This window comes from Homo sapiens, chromosome 1, assembly GCF_000001405.40.
Source record: "Homo sapiens chromosome 1, GRCh38.p14 Primary Assembly".
Taxonomy (NCBI): Eukaryota; Metazoa; Chordata; class Mammalia; order Primates; family Hominidae; genus Homo; species Homo sapiens.
The window spans coordinates 30,962,367-30,979,212 of NC_000001.11; the positions used below are offsets into that span (position 1 = coordinate 30,962,367).

Sequence of the window (16,846 nt, forward strand, 5' to 3'; positions counted from 1 at the left end):
CTGGCTCCATTTCCACGCACCAAGGAACCACAGCTTTTTATTTTATTTTATCTTATTTTGTTTTGAGACAGGGTCTTACTCTGTTGCTCAGGCTGGAGCGCAGTGGCACGATCTCAGCTCACTGCAGCCTGTCTCCCAGGTTCAAGCAATTCTCCCACCTCAGCCTCCCAAGCAGCTGGGACTACAGGCACACGCCACCATGCCTGGCTAATTTTTGTATTTTTTGGTAGAGGCGGGGCTTCACTATGTTGGCCAGACTGGTCTTGAACTCCTGACCTCAAGTGATCTGCCCACCTCGGCCTCCCAAAGTGCTGGGATTACAGATGTGAGCCATCATGCCTGGCCCATCTATTTTTATAAATAAGGTTTTATTAGAAGATAGCTACGTATTCACTCATTTACATTTTGTCTGTGGTTGCTTTCACACTTCAACAGCAGAGTTAAATATTCACTACAGACACCATCTGGCCTATAAAACCTAAAACATTTACTATCTGGCTCTTTATGAAAAAAAAACTTAGCAGGTTCAGTTTATTTAGTATGTAGTATGGGATGACATAGTTCACATGTTTTTAAACCAAGAAATTAAAAGATACATATTTCTGGATTTGGTAATGGACTGGTTCAAGATATCCTGAGTACATCATGTAACAGGATATACACTGAAACTGCATGCTTTGGAGTCGAAAAGGCTTGATTCTAAATCTGTTCAAATCTGAGATGACACAGGCTAGGCAAGATATTTAAGTCCTGAGACACGAAATAATACCTATACCTTCCAGTGTTGTATGTACAGGACCCAAAACCATTAACACCAGCAGGTAAATGCCAGGTCAGTGAACATTACTTCCTTCCTTCTAGCCACGTATCAAACTGGGAGTTTGACAGCTCTCTCCAGATTCTGCATTAACCCCCAGTGTTTAAAGCCAGGCATTGTGTCACTAGGAAACACTGTTGTGCAATGTACCCCATCCCCCTGTCTACCTATTATGGACCTACTAATCAGGAATGTCACAGTAACTTTTATAAAGTGATGTTCATATATAACCTGAGAAAATGAGTTCTACAACTAAAGTTCTTACTGTATAAAACTTCAGGATACGCACACACATGCCAATGTGTATATATAAACATAGTTTTGACTTGAAACTCGCCTCTTTCAAACTCAAAGCTATCACTCCTAGGTCTAGAATAATAAGTCTATTACCCTACCCACTTCAGACTTCTCTTGAATCTTATAAATCACTTTCTAGTCTGCCTATCCAAACGAAGGCATCCTGTTTGTTTTTAGTCAAGTTCTCACTTCTGAGTCCATGAAGCCACTTTTAATCTTGCTGGTTAAGAACAGAATCTTCTTGGTAAAGTGGCCACATGTGCTGATTTGCCCAGGACAGTCCTGATTTAGGCCTATCATCACCAAGTAATTATTCATAGCACCCCCTTCCACTCACAAAAGTGTTCTGGTTTGCATGATACATTATATGGTGACTCTACATCTAGCATTCAATTTTCCCCATCTAGCAAATAAATCAGTACTTTAAACTTAATACATAACTGCGGGAGAGGAGTATGCACCATGCTTGAGATAAGAAAACATCTCCCATGTCCTGAAAGATTTAGAGATTTGCCACCAAAAAAAAGGTAATATAATTTTCTTTTCATTCTTATAGCCTGCTGCTTGGGATCCTCTTTTTCTCTCCCTATTTTCTAGAATCTAGATGGTAATATTTTAAAATCCCATGCATAAAACAATCTAAATATTTAATAGGGAAATATACATCTCCTCATTAACATACTATATGGTTTGAGAGTTTATATTTACAAATATTTTAAAATATGGCAAAATTTTAAAAATAAAATGCTTTTTGTGAAAAAGCAAGATATTATATGTACATATAGCAGAGGGGAAATTTTGAAAGGAAATAAGGCAAAATATTAATTGTGGTGGTATTTCAGGTGGTGATACTAGGTGATTAAATTCTGTCTCTGTGTTTCCTAGCTTCACTGAAATGAACCTGTGTTTATATTGTTTACATTGAAATACTCTCACAGGTAGCCAAAGAATAAAATGTTCATACTAAAGCTAACTGAATATACAGGGAATGTACCCAAACTATAATAAAGCCAAAACTGCTATACTATCTATAGGTACAGCCTGAATAACATGAGGTATTTACGGAAGGCACAGAACACCCAGGACACTTCTAGTATAAAGGGACTGTCCTTTGCTTATGCAAAGTTCTTGTAATGTCATCGGTGGCAAGAGAGTTCTAGAGTTCAAGGTGGTGTTAGAGTAATGGTTCTTACCCAGGTTTAAGCTTGAAGAGGATCCATGTGAAGAGAGGGAAGGAGGTGGTGTCTGTGAATGTCCTGGTCCCTGACTAGGGAGAGGCATGCCCACGGGTCCAGGAGAGGAGGAAAAGCTAAGGCCGTTATAAAAACTGTGTCCAATGGGGGTCAAGCTGCTCGATGTCCTCTTATAAAGGTCACTGCTGCCAGTCAGGGAGTCACGGCGGGAGCCACTGCCAGTGTTGGAGTTTGCAACTAAAATGGAATTAAAACAATGCAGATAAGAACAGGCCTGTTCTTCGAAGAACAAGCCCAGTGACCTGTTCCTAACACTTTGATCCAGACTCCTTACCACCGCAAATTTGTCAGCAGAGACAGCCTAACTGTTAATGTAGCAGTACTAGGGGCAGATAAGTAATAAAGAGGACATGGCTCAGGTTAACATGACCATCAAACATATGCCAAATTTACCTTCCTATGGTGTCGTATATTATAGGATAAGGGAGGGTTAAAAAGCTCTGACGGCCACATGAACTATGGAAAAGGTGGAAGAAAATGGACTAGAAGAATGCCTTTCATCAATTGAAAAGGTTCAAGTAGAAAAATGGGATACAGAAAAAAGATTTGTAAATGGGGTACTGCCCCACTACACAAGACTTCTATATGAAAGCCTGTTTTCTCAGTGGGTTCAATCGAGAGTTAATGCTGCCCTCAATTCCAATTAAGATACTTTCTTTCACACATGCCCTTCTATTTAGGGATCACTTTTGTTTGTTTGTTTTTTATAATCTCTGCAATTATCCCATTATTCACCATACTACACTCCTGCTTTTTTCATCAAAACATTAAAAATATCTTGGTCTAATATCCTTCCTCCTAATTTTCCACATGTCTACCTTAAATTCTACTCAAAAGACTGAAGAAAACTTGTAACTCTTTAAGGCCTGCAGGCCAAGAACTCGGCTCAGTCTCAATTGTGGAGTATTTCAGCTCTGCTATCTTTAGTAAGTCCTCCTCCCTCAGTTTTTGATATCAATTTCTACAGTTCCCTCAATATTTTTCCCAAATACAGCAAAAATCTTCCCTAGATTTCAAATCCCTGAAAGAAACTGATTAAGTAAGTAGCCACATGAGCATGGATTGAAATAGGTCCCATCTGTATAACTTGATTTCAATAGTCTATCATCTCACAGATTATGTGGGATGGCTGGATTCCCACAAGGCTTGGTCCAGATCTGCCTGTGGTTCCATGCATTGCCAGTATTCCAGAAGGATTGTAAAAATAATTAAAATTCAGTCTTAAGAGCATATCAGTCTAATTTCTACCTGCTGTTCCAAACCCTCCAAGGGCGGATCCCAGGGTGGCGCCGAGAGAACTGCTACTTCCGAATCCCAAGGATGTGTTGGCAGGCTGGGCAGAGCCCTGGGAGAAGAGGGAGCTGCTCTGTGAATTGCTGTTCAGAGAGTTGTTGCCGTAGAAAGAACTGGATGCCAGGTTGTTATTGGGCTGCTGCTGGGGCTGGGGCTGAGGCTGCTGTGTTCCTAAAGGGCGAAATGGTCCATTTGTTGTTCCAGCAAGACCACCAGCTGCTCCATTTGCTGAAGCTGCGGCTGCTGCAACAGCTATGAAGAAGAAAGCAAACCGTTTGGCTATGAAAGGGACTGGCCACATTTCCAAACTACATTTTTATCTTTTTTCAAAAAATCTTTTAATGCTGCCTATCTTTTCAAAACAGACACAAACCATACAAATCTGTCTTTGATCCCTTCATATGAAGCTTCTATTTTCTGTTTCTACTTTCAATTTGAACTCAAAATACCACTAGAACAAGTTCACTATGCTGGTTGCTTTTAAGAGTATACAGATTAAAAGGGGTATAAACATCAAATGTATCCATTAAATACAACTACTTCCTAAAATCTTAAATTCCATAAATATCTATGTTGAGGGTTTCTTCTAGAACCATGTAATGCACATACACATCCTTCAAATTCCTATTTTAGCACACTGCTGTCTTCTAGATGTTCCTGTTATTGTTCTTAATTAAAAAATAAATAAATATAAACACTTAAAGTAAAAAACTATTACTCCTCCCAACCAAATGTATTATTTTGTCACTTCTCACTACTCTTTCCCACGTCCTCCACTCCTGCCCCTGTGGCAAAAAACAACCCCTCCTCTAAAATTATCTTAAAATAATGACTTGGATTTCTGCCAACAAAGCCATTTTGTGTGAGTAATGCAACTTCTATGTTCTCAGTGGAGCCAGACCTTCAGACCTTGCTTCTAACCAGCTGGCACATGCCACCCCTCCCCCAACCCACCAACCCCCCAACAAAAAGGAGAATCCACTAAGGTCACTTATTGCTTCTGATCTCTTTTTGAAACATTACAGGGTAGAACCGATATACTGAGAATTGCCAAAAGTTTATTTCAACATACTTTAAGAATCTCACTATCAGTCGCCACTTTTAGATCTCTGGCAGGAGTCCACTCAGATGTGCGCTCACCTGCTTGTGCAGCTGAGGAACTAATGATGACTGGGGCAGGAGCTACAAGTCGAACAGGAGCTCCAAGACCATTTCTCGCGCCTGCATTCACTACAAGGGCACCAGTTTGGTCATAGTAAGCAGCAGGAGCCAACACCGGATAACCTAGGAATATCAAGCCAACAAAGAAATGTATATGTTAAACAAACAAGTATCTCCTGGGCACCAACATATTGTCAATAATCACAAACTCAGCTTTGAGGTTGAATTGGCCAGATTTATATACTGGCTCCATCACTTAAATAGTTGAATAAACAGAGGCTACAAATGATTATAAAAATCATAGTACTTTCATACTACATAATAATTTAAGAACAAATATCCTGCAAAATAGCAGGAAAAACCTAGATAGGCTTTAAATAACATGATCTTTCAATATTATGTGAGATAGAATCTCCAAATCCCAGTTTAAGCCATATGAAAAACTGCAGGTGACTTCCTAAGAACACACAAAGGCTCAGTAACTAAAAAACAAATGAAACAGGTTAAAGTTATTTATTGAATTCATAAATGGCTCAGTTAAATTGGCTATGCTCTATGATCAGTAAAGGTCCATAAAAATACGCTGACATCTCTCAAAGACTTGTTTCACATGTAGAACATCAAAGTACATCTAATCCCATGCAAAGCACCAAACCAGCTGACAGTGAACCAAAAACAACATATATTCAAGATGTATCTATATAAACATGTATCTCAGAGGTAGACAGCTAAAAAGGACCCCTACTATTGGTTTAAGAGAAACCTTAAAAACGTAAGGGATGACCCTATCAAGGTATACCAGAAATTTCTCACTAATCATGCTGTTCAAAAACATCAACATAAAGACTAAGCCTTGTAAACTAGCTTGGCCACTCCATCTATCCCTGATTCTGAAACAGAAAACAGATAATCCACCAAGGAAAAACCACATATTCCAAGCTGCATGGACATTTAGATACCTCCAATATGACTTAAGACTGGCTCAGAACAATGCTCTCATCAGTGAACTATAGTCTAAGTGAGGGCAAGTGTGTATCATCCTTGCCAGTCCCCAAATCATGACAAGCCTAAGCAAGGTGAAAGCACTGCTCATTCCCCTCTGTAATCACCTCAAACGTGCAGCCTTTTTCCCTGCCAAAGTATTAGGAATAACAATGCAGCCGCACCTGGCATGCCTGCTGCCAGACCTTGTCCAAATGCAAGGGCAGAATTCACTGCTGCAGCTGCCACAAGGGGATCCGTTTGCTGTCCCTGCTGGTTCTGGTTTGGGGTCAAAGGACGTTGGCTGGCTCCTCCACGGAGAACCTGGGAAAGGAAGACAGAAATAACTCAACCACTTTCTTTTCATTGGAGAAGACCTACCCTATGCTCAGGTTGGGTCAACTTTTAAAACTTAATTGTAAATTGTTTCCCTATAATGGTTTTTATATGTCACAGCTGTTAGCGTATAAATTCAATTAATAACATTTCATAGAGTGGAATTTCATTCTACCATTCTTACTTTAAACACATTATCTCTATAAGCAGCAAAAAGCACACAAAAGTGATGATTCATTCATTCAAACATTTTATCTCATCTGCCTCATAAAGTTCTTGTGACAATTAAGTTAAAAGATGAATTTGGAATATCTGGCATCAGCAAGTGGTAGTGTTATCAAATATTTAATGCCTACCATGTGGCAAATGGGCAAGTGAGACAGAGCAATGAACAAGACCGACAAAGCCCCTGTCCTCATGGAGCTTTTATTTTAACGAATGAGACAGACAATAAACCATACTATATAATGTCAGTGCTCTGACAAAAAGTGGGTGAAGAAAAAAAAAGAGTGTAACAGGCCAGGCGTGGTGGCTCACGCCTGTAATCCTAGCACTTTGGGAGGCCGAGGCAGGTGGATTATCAGAGGTCAGGAGTTCGAGACCAGCCTGGCCAACATGGCAAAACCCCGTCTCTACTAAAACTACAAAAATTAGCCAGGCGTGGCAGCAGGTGCCTATAATCCCAGCTACGAGAGAGGATGAGGCAGGAGAATCACTTGAACCTGGGAGGCGGAGGTTGCAGTGAGCTGAGATCGAGACACTTCGCTCCAGCCTGGGAAAAAGAGCAAAACTCCATTTCAAAACACACACACAAAAAAAAAAAAAAAAAAAAGAAAAAAAAAGAGTATTAATGGGGGTTGGGAGGGGTTCCAGACAAGATGAACAGGGGTAATTTACCCACACATTTAAAGTCAACTGAGTCTCACATGCACACAAAAGATGGAATGAGAATATTTCCTCTTTAACACTAATATATTTATCAAGGTCCACATGGCCCCAAATGAGTTCACCAGATTCGATTTGGTAGGGCTCTCACCTGACTATTTCTATTTCCCTCTCAGAAATTCCACAAACATACGCATTAGTCAAGTTCAGTGCAGAATACCAGTTATGCCACTCTGATAAAGGATCTACTTTTTTTTTTTTGGTGGGCGGCGGGTGGCGCGGAGTGCAGGGAAGAGACAGGGCCATGCTCTGCTGCTCAGGCTGGAGTGTAGTGTGGCACAGTCTCAGCTCACTGTAACCCCTGCATCCCAGGCTGAAGAGATGCTCCCACCTCTCCTGAGTAGCTGGTACTACAGGTATGCACCACCACACCTGGCTAATTTTTCTATTTTTTGTAGAGACAGGGTCTCACCATGTTGTTCAGGCTAATCTCTAACTCCTGGGCACAAGCAATCCACCTGCCTTGGCCTGCCAAAGTGTTGGGATTACAAGTGTGAAGCCACTGAGCCCAGTCAAGGATCTACTTTTTATTAATGAAACACAGACATCAAAATGCTAGCAATCATTATTATTCTGAATGATGTGAAGAATCTATCTCACAAGATCTACACACTCCAGCAAGCAAAAATGCAAAACCCACAAACCAAGGCTAAAATTACTACAGTTCCTAACAATGTGTTTTGTCATATTGTCAAGTGTACAGTTCTTATCAGATCACTTTCAATTTCACTGTGTTATTTATAAAAGTTAGACATATGGTCAAGAAAATGGGTACAAATTATTCTTGGTACCAGTGGTAAAAAAAAAATGTAAAAAGAGAAGCAACACTAATAACCAATTAAATATTTGTTAAGTGAGTATAAGGTGACCAACACTGTCCACACTGGCAAGAAGGGATGTGTGGACACTTAATTTGCCCAATCTTTTACTTCTATATCAGTAATAAGTAAGAATTAACAAATGATCTTGCAGATTTGCTGGAAATATCTCAAATAATGTGTTTAAGCCACACTGCCTGATACCCAGGAGATCATCAATAACCAATAGCAAATCACTATTATCAAGATATTATATAATTTGTTTCTGACCTAAAGAACCTAACCAACTTTGTAAGAGAAAGTGTGTTTCAAACTACGTAGATAGAAGAGTCGGGGGGCTGTACAGGTGAGTTTTACCAAATACTTAGAATTTACATACCCAATAACTCAAAAGAGATCTCACTCTAGGATAAGTAAATAGCAAGCATTTTTGCCAAATACTTAGAATTTACATACCCAATAACTCAGAAGAGATCTCACTCTAGGATAAGTAAATAGCAAGCACAGAAATATGGCAAATGCTAATAGTTCAAAATTGCTGAAGATTTTAAAAAACAATGAAAGCATTGCTTTCACAGAATATAAAGAAGTAGGTTTATGTTTGATTAGGTGTTCTGTGAAAGGGCAGGTGTGGTAGAGTGGACAAGGTACCTAAAGAGGTAGTCTAAGACTATTGATGAGTCTTGTAATAAGGAAGGAAAACAGTGTTAGCTTTTTGTCCACTCTCTAGAAATCTGTCCAGTACCCCTAACTACAAATAAAAGTCCTTCAGTTATCTGCCAAAATTCATATATTTTCATTTCATCAATAGCTGTCAAATCCATGATTTTATGGAAACAAAATATACAGTTTCACAAGTAACATTTTAAAGTCTAATAAATCACAAAATGACTGAATTTATAAAAACTATCCTAGAACAGTCAGCTTGACTAGAACGCAACATATACTTTCTGATAAAATACAAGGGCCCAAAAGGCCAACAGCAAAGTTTAAAAAGAACCTCTCATTTTAATTACTATGACAAGGCAGTTTACCAAAAAAATCATATTTTCCTCAAATACTTAAAATCAGAAACTGGCACCCAAAAAAAAGGAACTAAAACAATGGCTGCTAATTAAAAACTAATGCTAAAAACTTCTTAGTAGGGTTTGACAGAACCTGTAGGGAATGACAGAAAACTGAAAAGTTAATGATTATTATGTCCATTTTATAACAAAAATATATGCATTTAGAGAAGCCATCCAACTTGCCCTAGTTGTAAGCTAGTTAACGGCAGAAGAAACACAAGATCTCAGATTTTCTTTAAGTCAAGACATCACAATATGGTCAGAAGAAAAGTTGTCAAGACAGAGGCTTATGTTCAAATCTTAACAACTTTGTATTTGTGTGACCCTGGGCACACAAATTGTATTTCCTCAATCGATTTCCTCTCAATTATGAAATTCTATTTCATAAAACAAGAAGTTGTACAACTATCATAATAAGAGAAATAGAAATTACATGTACAGCACTTAACTCTGCACAGAAAGCTTTCAATAAACAGCAATTAGTATTATTCTTGTTCACTGTATTAGACCTAATTTTAAAACATGGTAATTACTTTAGTCTTCCAAATGCATAATAATTTGGCAGCCATTTAAACAAAAAGATGATCACACAAATAAATACAGACTTATCCACAAAGAGCAGTTATTAAGAAATTTATTTGCTAGGTGCAGTGGTTCACACCTGTAACCCAGCACTCTGGGAGGCCAAGGTGGGTGGAACACTGGAGGTCAGGAGTTCGAGATCAGCCTGGACAACATGGTAAAACCCTGTCACTACCAAAAATACAAAAACTAGCCAGGTATGGTGGCACGTGCCTGTAATCCCAGCTACTAGGGAGGCTGAGGCACGAGAATTGCTTGAACCTGGGAGGCGAAGGTTGCAGTGAGCAAACTTGGCGCCACTGCACTCCAGGCTGGAAGACAGAGCAAGATTATGTCAGAAAGAAAAGAAAAGAAGGGAAGGGAAGGGAAGGGGAGGGGAGGGGAGGGGAGGGGAGGGGAGGGGAGGGGAGGGGAGGGGAGGGGAGGGGAGGGGAGGGGAGGGGAGGGGAGGGGAGGGGAGGGGAGGGGAGGGGAGGGGAGGGGAGGGGAGGGGAGGGGAGGGGAGGGGAGGGGAGGGGAGGGGAGGGGAGGGAAGAGAAGAGAAGAGAAGAGAAGAGAAATTAATTTATTTAATAGGCCAGGCACAGTGACTCATGCCTGCAATCCCAGCACTTTGGGAGGCCGAGGGGGGTGGATCACTGAAGGTCAAGAGTTCGAGATCAGTCTGGCCACCATGGTGAAATCCCATCTCTACTAAAAATACAAAAATTAGCCAGGTGTGGCGGCACACACCTGTAATCCCAGCTACTCAGGAGGCTGAGGCAGAAGAATCACTTGAACCCAGGAGGCAGAGGTTGCAGCGAGCCAAGAGCTCACTGCACTCCAGCCTGGGCAATAGAACTAGACTCCATCTCAAAAAAAACAAACAAAAAAAGAAATTTGGCCAGGCGTGGTGGCTCAGGCCTACAATCACAGCACTTTGGGAGGCCGAGACGGGTGGATCACCTGAGGTCAGGAGTTCGAGACCAGCCTGGCCAATGTGGTGAAACCCCGTCTCTACTAAAAAGACAAAAATTAGCCAGGCGTGGTGGTGGGGGCCTGTAATCCCAGCTACTTGGGAGGCTGAGGCAGGAGAATCGCTTGAACCCTGGAGGCAGAGGTTGCAGTGAGCCAAGATTGCACCATTGCACTCCAGCCTGGGCAACAAAAGCAAAATTCCGTCTCAAAACAAATTTATTTTAACAGATCACTCATTCTGTCAACAAATTATTTACTGAATTTCCTTATATATATGGTACAAGAACTGTATCTGTTGCCAAGAAAATCATTTAATAGTGTCCAAATAACGGGGGGAATTTCAAGACCTGTTTTTTTTTTCTGTAATTGTGTGGAATCTAAAAAAAAAAAAAAAATTAAACATACACCCTCTGAGTAAGACTGATGTCAAGCAAAAAATTCTTGTTTGGATCATTTAATATATTCATATATGAGCAGGGTGTTTTGTCTCAAATGACAGCTTTTATCTGACAATGCGTATCGAAGCCTAAGTGCTGATTTTATTTGCTCCAGAAAAACTCCATTACTAGGAATTTTTTCCAAGGATAAACTTATGTAAAGGATGTTAATCAATCTCATTTAAAACACCAAAATACTGATACAAATGAAATATCAAATATAATAGACTAGTCAAAATAAAGTATCGTTTGGTGGATTTAAATGTACCTAGTAAAAATGTCATTTAAAAGAACACTAAATAACACAGTAAAGTATGAAATCAGAATGTAAAACCACGTGGACACAATAATGACAATTTTGTAAAATATTAAATAATAAGGCTAAAATAACAGATACCAAACATAATAGCATTGGTTTTCTGACATAAGGATTTAGGGTAATTTTTTTTTTCAAGTTTTCTAGTTTACCACAGTTTCTATCAATAAAGAGGTGTTATTGGCCAGGCACGGTGGTCACGCCTGTAATCCCAGCACTTTGGGAGGCCGAGGCGGGTGGATCACGAGGTCAGGAGTTTGAGACAAGCCTGACCAACATGGTGAAACCCCATTTCTACTAAAAATACAAAAATTAGCTGGGCATGGTGTAGCGTGCCTGTAATCCCAGCTACTCAGGAGGCTAAGGCAGGAGAACTGCTTGAATCCGGGATGCGGAGATTGCAGTGAGCTGAGATTGCACCACGGCATTCCAGCCTGGGCGACAGAGCTAGACTCCATCTCAAAAAAAAAAAAAAGGTGTTATTCTAGCAATCAAGGAGGAAATGACCTGTTTAAAAAAATAAAAGATGTAGTTTTGCAGTTTACCGTCCTTTCTCAACTCAAATAAAAAGCTAATGCAGATATGATAGTTTAAGATTTACATCCAATCCAATCCAATAGGTACTACAAATAAGCAGTCTAAAAATCTAGTACCCCTGCTTTAGTGTCAAGCCCCTTGCAAAACCCTGAAATGATCTGAAAGTGGTGCTTAGCAAGCAACTACAGTATGGCAGAACAAAATTTTACTGTAACTTTGAAGATCCACTTTGCCACTTGCAGCTAAGCAATTTCCCTATAGGTGAACTGGTTAGTATCGTTACCCCACCTAGGTACAATAGTGTCTAATATATAAAAGACATTCCGTAAGAGTAGTTAAATCTGAGCCTGAACTCAGACACACATATATACACACAAGAGGAAATTCATGCATTCACAGTGTTTTTCTATTAGGCGCAATATTACCTATTAATTATCCACAATACTACGATTCCCACTTAGAAGAGGTAAATTTTGTCTACATTTACCTGCTGCTGTCCTTGCTGAGCCTGTGGGGTGGTCTGTTGATTAGCTGAATTAGTTGCTGCAGCGGCAGCGGCAGCTTGCTGCTGGAAAAGACTGGCAGGGTAGACTCCCCAGGGAGTAACTCCATAATACTGGTGAGGGACCACAGCTGGGCCTAAAAATAGCAAAAGAAAGGTAAAGAAAGTCTGAACTACTGAGGCTCATCTCAGCCTTTCCAAAATTACATCTGACTCAATAGATCCTACTGTAAAATATTAACTTAAAAGTATATATTAATTTATGCTAGCTAATCATTAACTCTTTTTAAAGAATAGTAAACATTATATGAGATCCTTACACCAGTCTTCTAATATAATCCAGGCCTAGAGGAAGAAGCAGTGGGGAATGAAACATTAGAAAACTAAAAGGGGGAATCACTGATAGAAGGGGTTCAATTTAATAACAGATGGAGGATGTAGCATAGAGACAATATCTGTTGGTAGAAGGGAGTAAATGGAGGGTTTGCGTGCTTAAAGTGATGGAATAGAACAAAAGGTTAGGATGTATCCTATGTTCAATGATAAGAATGGCACCTAAGGTGATTTAACGGAGTGCTGTTGTTTCATTAACTCCAGAAAAAGAACATCTATCAGTCTGACAACAAAACCTAGACACTCAACTGAACCTCCACTGCAACTTCAAAGTTGCTGTTACTGTTTGTTTTTTTTGTTTTTTTGTTTTTTGAGACAGGGTCTCTCTGTCACCCAGGCTGGAATGCAATGAGGCAATCTCAGCTCACTGCAACCCTGACCTCCCCGGCTTAAGTGATCCTCCCACCTCAGCCTCCCTAATACCTGGGATTACAGATGCATGCCACTATACCTGACTAATTTTTTTTTTTTTTTTTTTTTTTTTGGTAGAGGTCTGTGTTGCCCCAGGCTGGTGTCAAACTCCTGGGCTCAAGCGATCCATCTGCCTTGGCCTCCCATATTGCTGGGACTTTAGGCTTGAGCCACCAGGCCTGGCCCCTATTTCTATTTTTAAAGTCACAAAGGCATTCAACACAACTACATTCAGACACTGATATGTGAAATTTTAAATTTAAGTCAACGTTGAACACAAATAGAAACAAAAAATACAACACCTTGACTTGTTACAGACCTGTTGAGAACCTTAAACAAAATTAAGCATTCTCTGTAACCCCAGCATTACGGGAGGCCAAGTTGGGTGGATCACTTTGAGGTCAGGAGTTCGAGACCAGCCTGGCCAACATGGTGAAACCCCATCTCTACTAAAAAAATATATAAAAAATTAGCCGGACGTGGTGGCAGATGCCTGTAATCCCAGCTACTCGGAAGGCTGAGGCAGGAGAACTGCTTGAACCCAGGAGGCAGAGGTTACAGTGAGCCAAGATTGTACCACTGCACTCCAGCCTGGGCAACAGAGCAAAGAGTGTGTCTCCAAAAAAAAAAAAAAAAATTAAGCATTCTGCTTTAATCCAAATTATCTGTTCATTTTCCTTGGCAACAAAGTACAGCTGCAGTCGGCCACATAAAGTACACAACAGAGATATAACAAAATTATGCAGATATCAACCCAAGTGTGGCAGAAATCTAATTATAGAATTCTATGACGAAGCTGGTAGCAAGAAACACCAAAGACACATTTGCTAACCAGGAAATGGGCTCAAAGTCAATTCTTCAAATCTGCTGAAACATATCTCCAAGTTGAACTTCCTTAAAGCAGAGAGTTAAATATTTCCAACTTGATTCATTAACAGTAACCAAACCTTCCTTACACTGACTGAAGTTCTGAAGAGCTGTTTCAAATATTACAGCTACTCTGATGCTACAGCTAATTCTGGAGAAACACATAATTCATTAAGCCAAAATAAATAGACACATATTCTTGTTTCCCCCATTTTAAGCTTCCAAAACACAAATAAGTCAAATTGTACCACTGCCCAATATAAATATGTTTTGACATTTCTAATTTGGTGTTTTCTATACCTGTGGGCTTAGAAAAGATTAAGAAGCTGTTTACAAGCAAGGGTGCACACTGAAACACTATACCTGGGTACAGAATAAAGGTGTTGCTAAGAAAAGCTGTTACACTATGAACTATTTTACTATAAGAAGAAAAGGGGTTAAAACATTTTTTAATTTGTCAGAAACTGAACGGCCTAAAAGCCATGTATTCAAGTTTAAAAAAAAAAAAAAGAGTGATAGAGCCTCATACTCATTTGATTAGTGTTTATAAAGCAGGGTGGTCTTGGGCAGTTAAAGAAATAAATAAGAGAAAAAACACACAAAAAAGACCCTAACTGTGCCTTAGTTTCCTCACCTGTAAAAATGGGTAAACAGGTAGAGTGTTCCTTAACCAGAGTGCTTGAGACCAGAAGTGTTACCGATTTCAGATTGTAGACTATGTGTGTGTCCAAGAGTTATCTTGGGGATGTGACCCAAGTCTAAACACAAAGTTCATTTACGTTTCATATATGCCTTATACACATAGCCTGGGGGTAATTTTACTTTTCCTTTGGGGATGCTGAATAGATGAACTGTGTGTTATGTGCCTGTGGTTTTGACTATGACCCATCACATGAGATCAAGGTCAAGTGTGGAATTTTCCACTTATGGTGTCATGTTACTACTCAAAAAGATTTTGAATTTTCAGATTAGGGATGCTCAACCTGTAATACATGTTGGGAGTACAGCCGTATCTACCTTGAATGAGTGGTTGCAACCTGCAATAATAGTCCCAACGCTCTCCCAAAAGCCAACAAAAGCGAGCCTCTACTGGGCAAGGACTGCTATTACCATTAACATCTGCATTACTCTCTAAATTTTCTCAACTGGCATTTCTACTACTATACGCTGGTCACATGGCCTAAGGTTAAATTTAGGAAAACATCCCAGGGCAAATCAACTGAGCTTGGCACATCAGGATGCCCACTTCAATTCCTGTGTGACTGACACCCTCAAAGAATACACATTTTCATAGTTTTAACAGTTAACATTTCCTGTTATTTGTGAAAGTATTAACTCATTTTCACCCTGGCTCAACTGACATATACAAAAAACAAGATTCTGATCACCGAACTACCATCTCAGTGACAGCAGCAGTGTCAACCCTAAGACCAGTTCTTTGTTTCAAGTAACATAAATTAGTAAAGACTTCTAAAGAAAGTACAGAAAAGACAATTCAAGACAGACAGCACAGGCATTCTATATACTATAGTGAAGCATACGCATGAGCTTTGGAGTTAAACCTGGTTCAAACCCCAACTCTACAACATTTAAATTGTGTGACTTCAAATGAGACAGTTCTCTCTAGGTTGGGCGCAGTGGCTCACAACTGTAATCCCAGCACTCTGGGAGGCCAAGGAGGGTGGATCACTTTAAGTCAGGAGTTTGAGACCAGCCTGGCAAACATGGCAAAACCCCATCTCTACTAAAAATACAAAAATTAGCCAGGCGTGGTGGTGGGTGCCTGTAGTCCCAGTTATTCAGGAGGTTGAGGTAGGAGAATCAATCACTTGAACCCAAGAGGCAGAGACTGCAGTGAGCCGAGATCGCACCACTGAACTCCAGCCTGGGCGAGAGAGCAAGACTCAGTCTCAAAAAAACAAAAAACAACAAATAAGGCAGCTGTCTGAGCCACAAATTTCTAATCTCTAAAATCATCATCTGAAAAATCATATGAAAGAAAAGCATTCAGGACAATGCCTGACAAAAGTTAAGTGCTCAATAAATATTAATGATGGTTAGCAGAGATCATTCTCCTACGAAGAGCTTTCTGTTTTCCCCCAAAAGGGGGATGACCACGGACAGCCAGATGACCCTATGTTAACTATCTTCCCATCATAACCATGCCAAAATGTAAACAATTTTTTAAAAAATCTAAGAAATGCTAGGCTACATTTAAGTTCATAATTGCAAATTACATGTTACATAATAAGTAGTAAAATTTCGAAGTAATATTTAGTCATGATGAACTTGACTTGGAGGGATCTTCCCCCAGTGAATATCTAAACTGGAAGACATTTTGTTTGTCCTAATGTTGAATTCAACCCATCATACATTTATGGTCCCATCACGGTGACGGTAACTGTGCAACACACAGTCAAATAACAAAGATGCCTGTCTTTTAAAAATCTAGTCTCAAGGGAAAGAAAAAAACACTCATAGGCTGGGCACAGTGGCTCATGCCTGGAATGCCAGCACTTTGGGAGGCCAAGGGAGGAGGACTGCTTGAGCCCGAGAATTTGACACAACACCAGCCTAGGCAACGCTGGCGAGACCACCCCATCTCTCCAAAAATTTAACAATTAGCTAAGTGTGGTGATGCACAGTAGCCCTAGCTACTCAGGAGGCTGACGCAGGAGAATCCAGTGGGCCCAGGAATTCAAGGTTACAGTGAACTGTATTCACGCCACTGCATCCCATCCTCGGCAACAGAGTGAGATCCTGTCTCCAAAAAAAAAAAAGAGAGAGAGAGAAAGAAAGAGAAAAAAAAAAAGAGGGGAAAAAACTCATGTATACATCCCACAAGCAAATAAAAACAGTGCAGTAATTAGCCAACT

At 40.0% G+C, this 16,846-nt stretch overlaps 1 protein-coding gene and 1 non-coding gene across 3 annotated transcripts in view; both read right to left on the reverse strand.

The window, feature by feature from the left end:
- PUM1 (pumilio RNA binding family member 1) overlaps positions 1 to 16,846 on the reverse strand; it is a 134,212-nt gene that overhangs the window by 30,861 nt on the left and 86,505 nt on the right. For both annotated transcript variants that reach the window (NM_014676.3, NM_001020658.2), the window contains exons 10-14: positions 12,285 to 12,436; positions 5,988 to 6,126; positions 4,801 to 4,944; positions 3,616 to 3,912; positions 2,308 to 2,544 (exon numbers count right to left, since the gene is read on the reverse strand). In NM_014676.3, coding sequence (NP_055491.1) covers positions 2,308 to 2,544; positions 3,616 to 3,912; positions 4,801 to 4,944; positions 5,988 to 6,126; positions 12,285 to 12,436 — 969 coding nt within the window. The remainder of the gene's footprint in view (positions 1 to 2,307; positions 2,545 to 3,615; positions 3,913 to 4,800; positions 4,945 to 5,987; positions 6,127 to 12,284; positions 12,437 to 16,846) is intronic.
- SNORD103C (small nucleolar RNA, C/D box 103C) lies at positions 5,797 to 5,871 on the reverse strand. Its single transcript, NR_003066.1, has one exon. It is a non-coding gene; the product is annotated as a small nucleolar RNA, C/D box 103C (small nucleolar RNA).